At 37.1% G+C, this 13,818-nt stretch overlaps 1 protein-coding gene and 1 pseudogene across 14 annotated transcripts in view; one reads left to right on the forward strand and one right to left on the reverse strand.

Annotated features, from left to right (window-relative positions):
* The first annotated feature begins 506 nt into the window (after nucleotides 1–506).
* Nucleotides 507–13,818, forward strand: part of RFC3 (replication factor C subunit 3) — a 159,229-nt gene continuing 145,917 nt past the window's right edge. For all 14 annotated transcript variants that reach the window (XR_007063695.1, XM_011535175.3, XM_047430491.1 and 11 more), the window contains exons 1-7: nucleotides 507–623; nucleotides 3,490–3,627; nucleotides 6,275–6,342; nucleotides 8,147–8,244; nucleotides 12,194–12,375; nucleotides 13,077–13,213; nucleotides 13,614–13,712. Coding sequence is in view for 13 of the 14 variants with exons in the window: in XM_011535175.3 (XP_011533477.1) it covers nucleotides 537–623; nucleotides 3,490–3,627; nucleotides 6,275–6,342; nucleotides 8,147–8,244; nucleotides 12,194–12,375; nucleotides 13,077–13,213; nucleotides 13,614–13,712 (809 nt within the window). In the remaining variant the exon portion in view is untranslated. The remainder of the gene's footprint in view (nucleotides 624–3,489; nucleotides 3,628–6,274; nucleotides 6,343–8,146; nucleotides 8,245–12,193; nucleotides 12,376–13,076; nucleotides 13,214–13,613; nucleotides 13,713–13,818) is intronic.
* RNU5A-4P (RNA, U5A small nuclear 4, pseudogene) lies at nucleotides 11,897–12,007 on the reverse strand (annotated as a pseudogene).

Raw genomic sequence — 13,818 nt, forward strand, 5'->3', positions numbered from 1 at the left:
GAGGAATAGAGGTAACAAAGGATAGTGAAGATCAGACATTTTCAAGCGATTCATCCAATGAAGCTTTACTGGGTACCTGCCAAGTGAGTGAAACCCTGAGATGTATATATTCTAGTGCCGAGGACAGAGTTCCACACCTAGCAGATATTTAGTAAATTTTTGTTGAATGAATTAAGTGAATGAAAGAATGAATAAATGAAAGGAACGGTCTTCTCTGAGGTATCTGGATGTGACGCCAAAAGGGTCAGAACCACATTTTCAATTCCGCTTGATAATTTCTAGAATATAATAGACGGTGCGAACAAAGAGAAAATAAATAAAGCAGTGAACTTCAGAACTAGAGGGCATCGACGCGGCAGCTGATTTTGTCTGCACACGGCCCCCGTAGCCTTTCCGTCCAAAATCATTTACGCGGCCGCGACCGGTAGTGACGTCACGAGATTTGGAGCTCGCGGGAAAACTTGTCTCTGCGTTGTGGGGAGGACGCGCGCTCGCGCGGGATTTTCAAGCGTAGGCCCCCGGGAACTCGAGCTGCCATGAGCCTCTGGGTGGACAAGTATCGGCCCTGCTCCTTGGGACGGCTGGACTATCACAAGGAGCAGGCGGCCCAGCTGCGGAACCTGGTGAGTCTGCGGGGGCCGGGAGCGTGGGAGAGGGGAGGCCCCCCGGCTCGGGGTTTCGCGCCCCCCTGAGGAGCAGTGCTTCTCCCGCCCGCATTGGAAGGTGATAAGTGCTATGGAGAAAAATAACACAGGGAAGGGGGAAGAGGTGTGGGAGGCTGGCTTGTATTTTTAAACAAGAAAAGCTCCACTGAGAAGTGGCATCTGAGCCGAGACTTGAAGGAAATTGAAAAGTCATAAATACAGAAATCCGAGCAAAGAGTGGAACAGGTAAGAGGGGACAGCAAGTGCAAAATTCCCGGGCAGGGATGTGCACGGCATGTTCTAAGAACCTCAGGAGGCCGGCGTAGCCGATAGTGGTGAACCAGCGGGAAGGGTAATCGGAGATGGGTGTATGTGTTGGGATGGAGTTGGAGTGCAGACCCAGTCAGTCTCAGAATAAGACGAGAAGCCGTTGGAGCATTTTGAGCGGAGATGACACCATGTGATTTACTTTCTAGCTGGCTTAAGATTTCTCGATGTCATTGTCATTTACAAGTAAAGTGTTGTAAATATGTATTTACTCCAAAGATCGTTTCTAATTCTCAAATAAATTGTATTAGGACGTTCCTGAGATTAGTTTTTTTTTTTTTTTTTTTTTTTTTTGAGACGGAGTTTAGCTGTTGTCGCCCAGGCTGGAATGCAATGGCGCGGTCTCGGCTCACTGCAACCTCCGCCTCACGGGTTCAAGCGATTCTCCTGCCTCAGCCTCCCGAGTAGCTGGGATTACAGGCGCCCGCCACCACGCACAGCTAATTTTTGTATTTTTCAGTAGAGACGGGGTTTCACCACGTTGGCCAGGCTGGTCTCGAACTCCTGACCTCAGGTGATCCGCCTGCCTCGGCCTCCCAAAGTGCTGGGATTACAGGCGTGGGCCACCGTGCGTGGCTGAGATTAGAGCTTTGTGAAAGATCCTCTCCCCTCTATCCTGATGCCTCTTTGTCTGTTGTAGTTGATAAAAGTGCCCAATGGCAATATTTTGTGAGAACGAACTGAATCTTCCAGGGAGTAGAGAGTAAAGAAGGATCTTTAGGAGAATAAAGTGTCTGTGGAAGACATTTATCCACTCCTTTTAAGGAACTCAAATTAATATATGATGCTGATGGAAACGTTTTTGCCCAATACCCTGGTTTTCCCTTCCGACCTTTCTTAGATTTACAGATACTATTTAATTAAGTGCGTCTTAAAAATAAGAAATAATAAGAAAAGATTGTACACGTAAAAATCATTAGACTAGTTGATAGTGTTGTGACATTGAAGGTTTTTTTTTGGTCTCTTTATTGATACTGCATGTATACTAATTTAAAATAAATTGATTACTGCAGTATCCATCATTTATAGACAAATTACATTTTCCGTCAATAGCTTTGTCTTCAGTTTTCCTAGTGATAGAATACATTTTATTTTCTGTGGCCACATTTTGTTGTACAGAATTTGGAATGTATATTTTGGACATGAATTTAATATAATGGTCTTATGTGTTAAATTTGCTTTTAAGAAATGTTCACCTGTTTACTCTTTTATTTGCAGCTTAATCAAACTATGAAACATTTAAAGCATAACCCTTATTTTTGATTAGATTGAAGTTGAAAAAACAAGGCAGTAAGTGTCTGTGGGACACTTGCCATTTTCCAGGCAGTATATTAGATTGAATAGTTCTTTTCCTTGGGACTTTTTAGTGACAGAGATGGATGAGTTTACAAAGTATTAAAATTCATTGCAATAAGCGCTTCTCTTAAGATACGTATTCCATTTTTTCAATAATGGTTATTTACAGAACTTCACCTTACAAGACTTTATGCTCCCGAGGCTAAGGTCTGTCACCCACTCATCTTTATAGCCTTCATAGCACTGGTTCCCAAACCAGACTGATCATCAGAAACACCCGAAAAGCTTTTGCAAAACTCATCATCAGCAGATACTGTTAGTGCCCTACCCAGTCCTCTTGCTTTTAAGTGCACACAGACTGACTTCTGACTTCTAACTTTGTACATCTGTACTTTGCCTGAGGGCTTTTCTCTCTGTGACACCCATAGTAGATTTGAAATGCCTGGAATTAATGCTCTTTCTTTTCCCCCATCCACTTTTCTAAGCAGGCTTCAAGAAAGAACTCATCAGAGATAATCATACGGCAGCTTCCCCACCCTTTGGGTGGGTTAACACTCTGGTGGGTGTTTATGTTGGCTTTAAGAGTTTCCCTAGCAGGATCAAACACAGATACCTAGAGCCATTCAACTTGACAACACACTCTTACTGGCTGCCTTCCTTTCCCTGTTTCGCATCCCCACTCTCCTATGAAGTTTTCCTTTATCTCACAAGTAACCTCCCAAAGAAACCAAATGCACTGAATTGTTATCACAGGGACTGTTTCTAATAGTCCGAAGTAAGAAAGGCCTGAATCTCAGAGTTACAGAATCCTAATCTCATGGATGATAGGGTCTGTTCATTAGTCAGTCCTTTATTTTAAAAAGTTTTCTAGGAGATTCTGATAGTCAGGTTTGGGAGTTCCCGCTTTCTAGCATTTAGTTTTGTATCTTGCATGTGCTGTCACGTATATAAGTTATACAAAATTAGTGTCAGGCGAATAGTAAACTTTTCAGCATATATATATTTATATATATATATATATATATAAAAGATACACAATATTTTGTGTATCTACCCATGAAACTCCAAGTTTTACACATATATAAAAAATTGGGTGTATCTACTCATGAACTGGGAGTTTCATGGGTAGACACATAAAATATTTGTTACTTAAAAAGTAGTTTGGTTCTACCTAGAGCAGTTCAGTTTGACTAGGGAAAAATGCCTTGTTCTTTTTTTTCAGGTGCAGTGTGGTGACTTTCCTCATCTGTTAGTGTACGGACCATCAGGTGCTGGAAAAAAGACAAGAATTATGTGTATTCTACGTGAACTTTATGGTGTTGGAGTGGAAAAATTGAGAATTGAACATCAGACCATCACAGTAAGCATTTCACTTTGAGGCCCTGAAAGTAATTTATAGCGGGGACTTTCAGTCTTGGTCATGTATGTCCCCCCAACTCAGTTGCTTCCTAATGTATGATTTAAATAAGAATTCCACAGGTAGTCTTGGGGCACAGGATTTGAGAGCTACTGATATGGATCTGTTATAACCAGAGCAAAGCCATTTATGTTAGATAGGAAATAAGAGCAACAGAGGGTTTGGGGTAAAATGTAGAGGGTGAGATTAATTTCAGATTACCTAATAAGACAATGTCTTAGCTGAAATTAGAACTCAGGTTTCCAGACTTCATTTTTCTGAGAGCAGTAGTGGGGATGGAAAGAAAGAGAATGATTTTGAGAAAAATGTTAAACATGGTATCAAGTGACTTGGTAAAGAGTGGGCAACTGACTGACTGGGAAAGGAGGCCTGCAACTCTGGGAAGTTGAGAGGCTTTCTGTGATCTTGCCCTTGCCAAGATGTCCAGCTGCATACCGTGTAGCACATTCTTATGCTCTTCCATTATGGATGATGTTTAAGATCTAGCTGAAATGTATCCTTCCTTTTCATACCCCATTAGAATTAACTTTTCTTCTACAACTTGTAGTTTGTACTTTTAATAGTACTTATTTTGTTTTGCTTTGGTTGTAGTAGTTTATACATCTTTTACTTTGAAAAGATTGTATTTGTTTTGACTGTATGTCGAGAACATATATTCATTTTCATATCCTTCATATCTTCTGGTAAAATGTCTTTACATATTAGGCATTGAAAAAATCATATGCTGAGTGTGGATGGTAGTGCTATAAACAGAATCTTCAGGAAGGTAACTGGGTTTTAGGCTAATGTTGATTAGCATATATTTAGATACATTGAGTTTGAGATGCTGGTTGTATGTTGTGGAAATTCGTATAAATATATAGGGACAAATTTAACAAAAATGGTGTGGATGTGTCAGAAGAAACTAATATCTTATAGAGGGACAATAAACAGCCAGTCAAATGGAATGTTGCAGCATCTTCCCAGATGGGTGGCTTAATATTTTAAATTATCTGTTTGCCCCAGGTGACACTATAAATTTCTATGAAATTCTAATTAAAATTCAAGTGGTTGTTACAATTGTATGAAATGATCTTAAAGTCCGTCCATATGGAACGGTACATTTCTGAGACTAGCTAAAGTAATTATGAAAAAAGATTAGTGAAGTAGGGCTTGTGTTAATGTGTAGTAAATCATATTGTATGTCTATTGTAAATAAAACAGTATTATATTGGCATGAAAATAGAGAATTAGACAAGTGAAACTGGAAAGAGAGCTTAGAAATGTGATAGAGGTGCTATTTCAAATCAGTGGAAGAGGATAAGCCAGCAGTGTGTCATCATAGCTAGTTATCTATCCAGAGAAAACGAAGTTGAGTCCCTATGACATACAATTTATAGAGATAAATTCCAGATGAATTAAAGACTTAAAATGAAACACTAAATATCTTCGATTAAAATTTTTTAGACTATATGAATTGCTCCTGGGTCAATAAAACCTTTTGTAGGAAAACATGGAAACTATAGAAGAAAAGTAGATACCTGGATATATGAATTTGAAAAATTGCTATGACAGAAATTATACATAAAATCAATAGAAAAAGATTGTCACAAAAATTTGAAAGGACTGTGTAAATAAGAGATTTTTACAAATTGGCAACAGAAAGACAATCTGGTAGAAAACTGAAAAATAGATTCTTCTGTAACAAATAGTCACAGGAGAAAAATATAAGAGGCATTAAACACATGTAAGGATGTTTGACCTTTGTGATAGTCAAGCAGTGTGAGTCTATTATATACTCACCAAACTGAAAAATTGAAAGGCATGATAAAACCTACTGTAGATGGGGAATGTTGGGGAAGAGTGTTGCCAGTGGAAAAGTGAATTGTTAAACTGTTTTATGAAGCAGACTGGTCAATACATACACACATACACACACATGTATTATATTAAAGTTAGAAAACACATTCCCTTCAATCCAGAAAACTGGGAATCTCTTACATAGAAATGAAAGCAGTATATGCAACATATGTACAGAGATATTAATTGTGGAATTGTTTGAGTTCAGAAAACAAAATGTCCATCAGTATGACCAGCTTTGCAACATCCATGCCATAGGTTGGTGTGTGACTATAACACTGTGCCAATTGTCTGAGAGGGATTGCCAAGATATATTAAGTAGGAAAAGCAAAACACAGAGACGTGTATGATTTCCTTTTTTTAATTTTTATTTTTTACAAGAAACATTGACACTCCATGAAAATACATTTGTGTATGTTTATTTTTGTGTTAACATGGGAAAGACTGAAAGGAACAGATCGTTTGCAATGATCTGTGTTTCAGATGGTATACAGATTTGGTTTGGGGATTTCTGGAGATAAGGAAAAGAAAAAAGTAGTCACAATGAAACAGGATGTGTGATTGACCCAATTTATATAAAAACATGTTTATCTGCACATTGAGAAAAGAGTGGGATTAACAAAGTTAAAACATGAATGGTGGTTATCTCAAGTTTTACTTTGTGTAATAAAAGGAAAACCAATGAAAATACAAAAGAGTGGGGAAATAGGCAATAAATAAATGTTAAAAATATCTTTTTCTTTGTCCACAGACTCCATCTAAAAAAAAAATTGAAATTAGCACCATTGCAAGTAACTACCACCTTGAAGTTAATCCTAGGTAAGTTACTACTATATAGAAATTAAGTATTTTTAAAGAAATTGGTTTTGGGCTTTCTTTTTTTAAAAGATTGAAACCCTTTTTTGAAATAAATTGATACGTGTGGAAGCACAGTTTATAAAACAGACTAAAGTGGAGCTGCCCTGCTTGAAATGGGAATCCTAGAGCCCTTCCTGTTTTGCCTTCTGTGTCAAATAATTTCAACAATGTATTTACCTTTTCTAGCTCTAGGGAGCTCATTGATGTACACACAGTACATTGTATTGTCAGTAAATTTTTGTTAATTATGTTGGCTCATTCATTACTGATGAGCAGTGTGTCTAAAAAGTTTACAGTGTTTGGAGTAAATATTTCAGAAATTGACTTTGGGTTGCCAAATCTTTCTTTGTCACTCTCTTTGTTTAAATTTCTTGATTAGAGGTATTATAATAGTTCACCAACCAATATCTTTATTCTCTATATCATGCAGTAATAAGAATTAGGAACTTGTTGGAGAGGCGTTGAAAATTCATGCAATAGCTATTAAGCATTAAGTGGTGTAGAAATGATTCTGGGAGCTAAATTGGGTAAGCTGCTATGATCTGTGGGGCTGTATGAGTTCTTAAAGGAGAACAGAATTGAGGATATTGTCAGTCATATTCAACATGGGCAGTGACATAGAGGCAAGAGTGAACATCCATTTCAGGGAGAGGGAGGAGACCGAATGGAGCAGGAGGAATACCATTACAAGCTAATGTGTATCTTGTTTTCAGTAGCAGGCACTTTGTGAGAAGCTTTACCTGTATTATTACATTTAATCCTTAAAACAACCCTAACAGATAGGTTTTATTATTTTCTCTAGGCATCTCAAAGAAAACTAAGAGAAATAAGGTTGTTGGGAATGGGTTTGATCAAAGAAACAAAGGGAATGTTAATTCCAGATACAAATGGAGAATGTTTTGGATTCTTGGCTAGGAAAATGATCGTAAGAGCAACACTGTAGGTATATTGATCTATAATAATAGTAGTGACTTGGGAAAACTTAGTGGCTCTTTGAGAAAATAAAGTTAACTGCTTTGACCTGTTTTTCTCATCGTGAGTTCTTCTGAAGCATAGATAAGCAATTGGAGAATAAGCCGATTGCTTTTGGGGTGATTGAAATTAACATTGAATCAGCCTAAATTGACTTCTCTTGGCTTGAGAGGTCTTTGACTGAAGTGCCAAAGCAATAATATTGGTGTAAATGACAGCTCAATACCTATAATAAGTCATCAGTTTACGGAGTTTTGACTTTGTGTCTTAAACTCAATTTGCTTATCTCATCGCTTTACTGAGTCTCTGAATCAGTTTCATTCTAGTGCTGGGAGCAGACTTCTCTTTGTTTGTTCTCTCTTAGATCTTTGCTATTTTGGGGATGTGGAAGAGGACTAGGGATTGAATTTCTGTTTCAAAGAGTTACGTTTTGTATTTTCAACAATTATAGATAGTTGAGAAATTAGCTATAATTAGGTATTAATTTTCTATAGTCGGTACAGAAGTGTCAAAGTATTTGCTAAACTGTTACCTAATTATTAGTAGTTGCTCTTTTTATGTTAACAGTAAACTTAATGTAACAACATATTTAGTGTTTTCAGTGATGTTAATCCAATTGGAATATTGTTAGTATTTTCAATGACCCTAAAACTTTTTACTTTTGAAGGGCTTATAATTATAGTTAAGTGATATTAATTTTGATTAAAATTTTGACCACTTAAGAACTTCACCATTTTTCTTATAATAACAATATTAAGGGCATACTATATACCATTATTTTTGTTTTGTGTAGTGATGCTGGAAATAGTGACCGAGTAGTCATTCAGGAGATGTTGAAAACAGTGGCACAATCACAACAACTTGAAACAAACTCTCAAAGGGATTTTAAAGGTAGGTGATCAAAAGACTTCTTTTTATGAAGCTGCCAAGCATTAGTGCTCTCTCTTTTTTTTGAGTTATGAAAGTGAACAGGAGAGAAGCCTGATCTCTGGGCTCATGGGAGTTTATAGTCTAATGGAATTGAATTTTATGTGAAAGAGGATTATTTGTGCCATCCATTTGATATTTTAGAACAAGATGAATAAAAATACGTGATTTAAAATCAGAAATTACATGATTTTAAAATAATTGTTCTTATGACCGAGTCATATGTTCATTATCAGATATTTAGATAAAAAAGAAAATAATATCAGCTATATTCCCACCATCCAGAGACAGCTACTAATAACAGTTTAGACTTTACCATCCAAGCATTTTTTTCTATATATATGGATACATTCTTACTGGTGAGATTTTGTGATAATAAATATGCCATCATTTAATGCTTTTGATATATTTTGCCAAATTCTCTATCTGAAAGAGGGTATAGATTTATACTACCAATAGCAGTGTTTGGGAGTGCTCATTTCTCCGTGACATTTACCAACACTGAGGATAATTTGTTTTAATCTTTGTCAGTTTGAGTGGAGAAGATAGTGTTTTGTTCTTCTTTAGTGAGTGTGATAAATTTTTCCTTTATTGCTCATTTTTATTGTTTTGTGAATTCGCTGTACATATTCTCAGCTGATTTCTTTCCTCAGTCTCCATATTTCAAAATAAATTTACATTTATGAATTTATTTTTTGCTACTATATATGGAGTCTTATATTTTCTGAATGTTTTATATATGTGAGTTACTAACATATCCTACTTTTATATCTTGCTATGTTATTAAATTCTCTTACTGTTTTTAATTGTATTTTGGTAGTTTGAGTTTTTTTAGATGTATATTAATGTAATCTGTAAATTGTTTTTCCTTTTTCCAATTTTTATGGCTCTAAATACTTTTTCTTCTCTAATTATGTTGGCCAACCCTCCAATAGTGTGGTTAATAGTAATAGAGATAGCAGATGTCCATGTCATGACTCTGGAAGTAAAGCCTTAGTGTTTCCCCATAATTAATTGCTGGATTTTGGTCTGAGGTGTATGTATTTGATCATGGTAAGAAAATATTCTCAAGTTCCTATTTTATTGAGTGTCTTTAACACAAATGTGTGTTAAATATTGTCTGATGCTTCTTTTTCATCCATGAATATGCTTTTATGATTTTTCTTTAGTTCATTAATATCATAGGTTATATTACTGGATTTTCTAATATTAAAACTTTTGCTAGGCACAGTGGCTTATGCTAGCAATCCCAGTGCTTTGGGAGGCTGAAGCAGGAGGATTGCTTGAGCCCAGGAATTCAAGGTTGCAGTGAGCTGTGATTGCACTACTGTACTCCAGCCAGGGTGACAGAGCGAGACTATATCTCCAAAAAAAGGCAAAACAAAACTGTTCTGCATTTCTAGAGTAAACATGACTTGTCATGTTGAATTTGCTGTTTTCTGCCTACCAAGTACTGCTTAGTCACTGTTTCAAACATCACTATACAAAATAATGATATGTGTATGTAAATATAGGAAATATTGTGCCATTATCCTCAATCTGTTATTAATATTATAAGAGAAATGTTGAACATCGGTTATTATAAGAAATTTAGTTGAAATTTAAAATTTTAATCAAAATTAATAATACCTGATTACAATTACAAACCTTTAAAAGTGAAATGTTGTAGGGTCATTAAAAATGTGAACAATATTTTACCACCCAATTACAGTTGAATTAACCTATTCTTACATGAAGCTTACTGTTACTTAAAAAGAACAATAACTATGAATTAAGTAACAGTTTAGGAAATAATTTGTCTCTTTCATATCCATAAAGATGTTATTCTGCTCCTCTGCTCGTCTTTCTTGCATAACTGTTGAAATTTGGCCATGATCCTTTTGTGTTGGTCATTTTGTTAAAAGTAAAGTGATTTTTCCTGTACTTAGGGAAGGAGAGGAAGGCCAGAGAGTTTTTTTTAGGTCTGGGGCTCTACAGCTACCTCTTGTATTATTTTTACAAAGTGATAAAAAATATATGACACTTTACTTAAGGCCAGGAAATTGAGACCAACAAGACCCGATCTTGCCAAAGGAAGAAAAAAAAAAAATTAGGCTCATGCCTGTAGTCTTAGCTACTTGGGAGCTGAGGTGGGAAGATTGCTTGAACCCAGGAGTTTGGGATTGCAGTGAGCCATGATCAAGCTACTGCACTCCCGCCTGGGTGACAGAGTGAGACCCTGTCTCTAAAAAAATAAAATAAAAAAATAAAGTAAATAAATGACCTTGTGTTCTGAGCTCTATTCCCTATCTTATTTTCTGTCACCTTTATTGGGATTCTTTCCTTTGTCTCTCTTTTACCTGTTCTCAATTTGGTCTGGGATTTCTTCTCATTGTGGAGCATTGTCTTAGTCTGGAACTCCTGTCCTCAAGCCATCTTCCTAGCTCGGCTACCCACAGTGCTGGGATTACAGGCACAAGCCACTGCACCAGCCACAGCCACCTGGAACACTGTCTTAGAAGGGAACTTCATTTTGGTATTCTCAGAGTCTGCTGTTCTGTCAAACCTTACTGCATCAGGGTTCCCTTGCTCTCACCCATAAATTGGGCTCTGTCGAATCTCCCCCCTCGGTAAGACTGCTGCTTTCTTTGAGACAGTGTCTCACTGTGTGGCAACAGGCTGGAGTGCAGCGGTGCCATCAGAGCTTACTGCAGCCTTGACCTCCTGGGCTCAAGTAATCCTCCCACTTCAGTCTCCTGGGACTACAGGCACACACCACCATGCCCGGCAATGTTTTGTATTTTTGTAGACATGGGGTTTTGCTATGTTGCCCAGGCTAGTGTTGAATTCTTGGGCTCAAGGGATCTGCCTTCCTCAGCCTCCCAAAATGTTGGGATTACAGGCAGATTACAGGCATGAGCCACTGTGCCTGGCCAACTGCTGCTTTCAAATTGGCCGCACCATGGTTTCTAGTATGTTCCCGTGGGTGATTTTGAGCTTTTCCTGTCATAAAGTCTGTCAAAATCTTCCTCCCACACCGTTGCTGATACTATGTGGGCCTTTCCAGTTTTAGTTGCTTATTCTCACTTGCTCATGTTTGGGGTTCTTGGGTAAAGCTTGTTGCCTGGTTTCTGTATAATGTTCATGGGTTCTTTGTTTTGGAATCTTTAGTTGTTCTGTTTATTTTTATGGGGCAGATCTAAATGCTACATGCTGCCAGTTCATCTTCTAGAAATAATTTGTTAATATAATGAAAAATACAATATTGGATTCAGTTTCTGTGTATACATTATTCCTGAACTATGTTAAGGCTGATCTGTGATTGTGGCCAGATGGAATCTTACTTTATGGTGGCCAGATATCCTCATGCCTTGTTGCCTACATCTCTTGCACCACTGTCTTCCAAAGTCTATTCCTTGGAATTTAATATTTTAGATTAAGGTGTACCACAGAAATGTGCTGCTGAGTAAAGTTATTTTGGGGAAATGCAGCACAGTACTTCCTTGTCTTGGTAAATTTTAGCGCATATAAATAATAAAGGTTGCAATGATTTCTACTACAAAGTGACCTTTTAACTTCATTTAGCCTAGTGTTTCTTGGTCTTGTTTGATTATAGATTCTTTTCTTTTTTTTACTAGCCCTGCCAACGCAAGGTCTCACAATATTAAAAACTCAGAGCTGTTCCTCTCTATAGAAGTCTTTAGTAAAAGGCAAAATATTTATATGATCTGAAGAGAAACTGGAGTATGATTGTAGCATTTTAAAATAATAAAGTAATTTTACCATACTTATAACTTTATCTTTGCCAATGGGAAGAGTAGTATATCAGGCTTATTATTTAGGATTTCATCCTGGATAATGAGAAGGAAGAAAGAGACAAGTTAAAGTTTGAGTGAACTCAAGTTAAAGTTTGTTTTGTTTCTCTTTGACTCAGTGGTATTATTGACAGAAGTTGACAAACTCACCAAAGATGCTCAGCATGCCTTGCGAAGAACCATGGAAAAATATATGTCTACCTGCAGATTGATCTTGTGCTGCAATTCTACATCTAAAGTGATCCCACCTATTCGTAGTAGGTGCTTGGCGGTTCGTGTGCCTGCTCCCAGCATTGAAGATGTAGGTCAAGTTACACTTTTCTGAAAAATAAATCAGTTCAGATTCTCTGAATATTGTATGCTTGTTGTAAAAGAAGGGAATCGTATCAGTAATTTAAGAACACCTACAGACCTGGATGCAAAGCATTAATATGTGAACAAACCAAAGCGTATAGTTGTAAATACCAGATGCCAATATATAGAAAGTGTTTTTCCCTTTAAACCATCTTTACTTTGAACAAGTAGGTATTACGAATTCTACTAAACTAGGTAAGGGCTAGTTATTTACTGTCTTCTTTCTCAAGCTGATTTAGTTGGCTATAAGAGGAGGCTGGAATATTGAGGAAACAGATTTTGCAAAGAGATGATGTGGGAATACCTAGTCCCTAGGAAGGGAATTAAAGTTAGTATGAAATAACATTAATATGAATATATATACATAGATATATTTTTTTCTCCATTCTTAACAGCCATCAGCAAAAATTATGATTCCTCACATTAAATATCTTTCCAGCTTTTAATAGATTTTGGGAGATTTCATGCAAAGTAGGGATAATATGCAACATTGTGTTAGATGCAGAGTGGTAAGTTACTTTTAGTGTAAGTTTCACTTATAAGAATTTTGAGAGTAATACAGTTATAAGGGTCTAGGAGGATATCAACAGAAATGAATCTTAATCTGCTTTTTAATGGATTGCCCATTTTTGTTAATTTTATTTGTAGATTTGCCACGTGTTATCTACTGTGTGTAAGAAGGAAGGTCTGAATCTTCCTTCACAACTGGCTCATAGACTTGCAGAGAAGTCTTGTAGAAATCTCAGAAAAGCCCTGCTTATGTGTGAAGCCTGCAGAGTGCAACAGTGAGTGGAAGGGGTAGTTACATTCTAGGACTTTGGCCCCCAAGCTTTTTGGCACCAGGGACCAGTTTTGTGGAAGACAATTTTTCCATGGACTGGGCAGGGGTGGGGGATGGTTTCAGGATGAAATTGTTCCACCTCAGATTATTAAGCATTAGATTTTCATTTGGAGCGTAGATCCCTTGCATAAGCAGTTCACAATACGGTTCACGCTCCTATCAGAAGCTAATAACATCACTGGTCCGACAGGAGGTGGAACTCAGGCCATAATGCTGGCCTATCCGCTGCTCACTCCTGCTGTGCAGCCCGGTTCCTAACCGCACGGACCAGTGGTTGGGGACTCCTGTTTTAGGACATAAGCACACTTCTGTTTAACTTCTTGTGTTCTCTTTTTGTCATGTAGATATCCTTTTACTGCAGATCAAGAAATCCCTGAGACAGATTGGGAGGTGTATCTGAGGGAGACTGCAAATGCTATTGTCAGTCAGCAAACTCCACAAAGGTACCAGTATAAAATGATGACAGTAAAGCTTTCATTATCAGGATATCATAGGACACATATTAACTATTTTATGCTAATGTCATTTTGAATTATAATTAAATCCTGA

This window comes from Homo sapiens, chromosome 13 (genome assembly GCF_000001405.40).
Source record: "Homo sapiens chromosome 13, GRCh38.p14 Primary Assembly".
Lineage (NCBI taxonomy): Eukaryota > Metazoa > Chordata > Mammalia > Primates > Hominidae > Homo > Homo sapiens.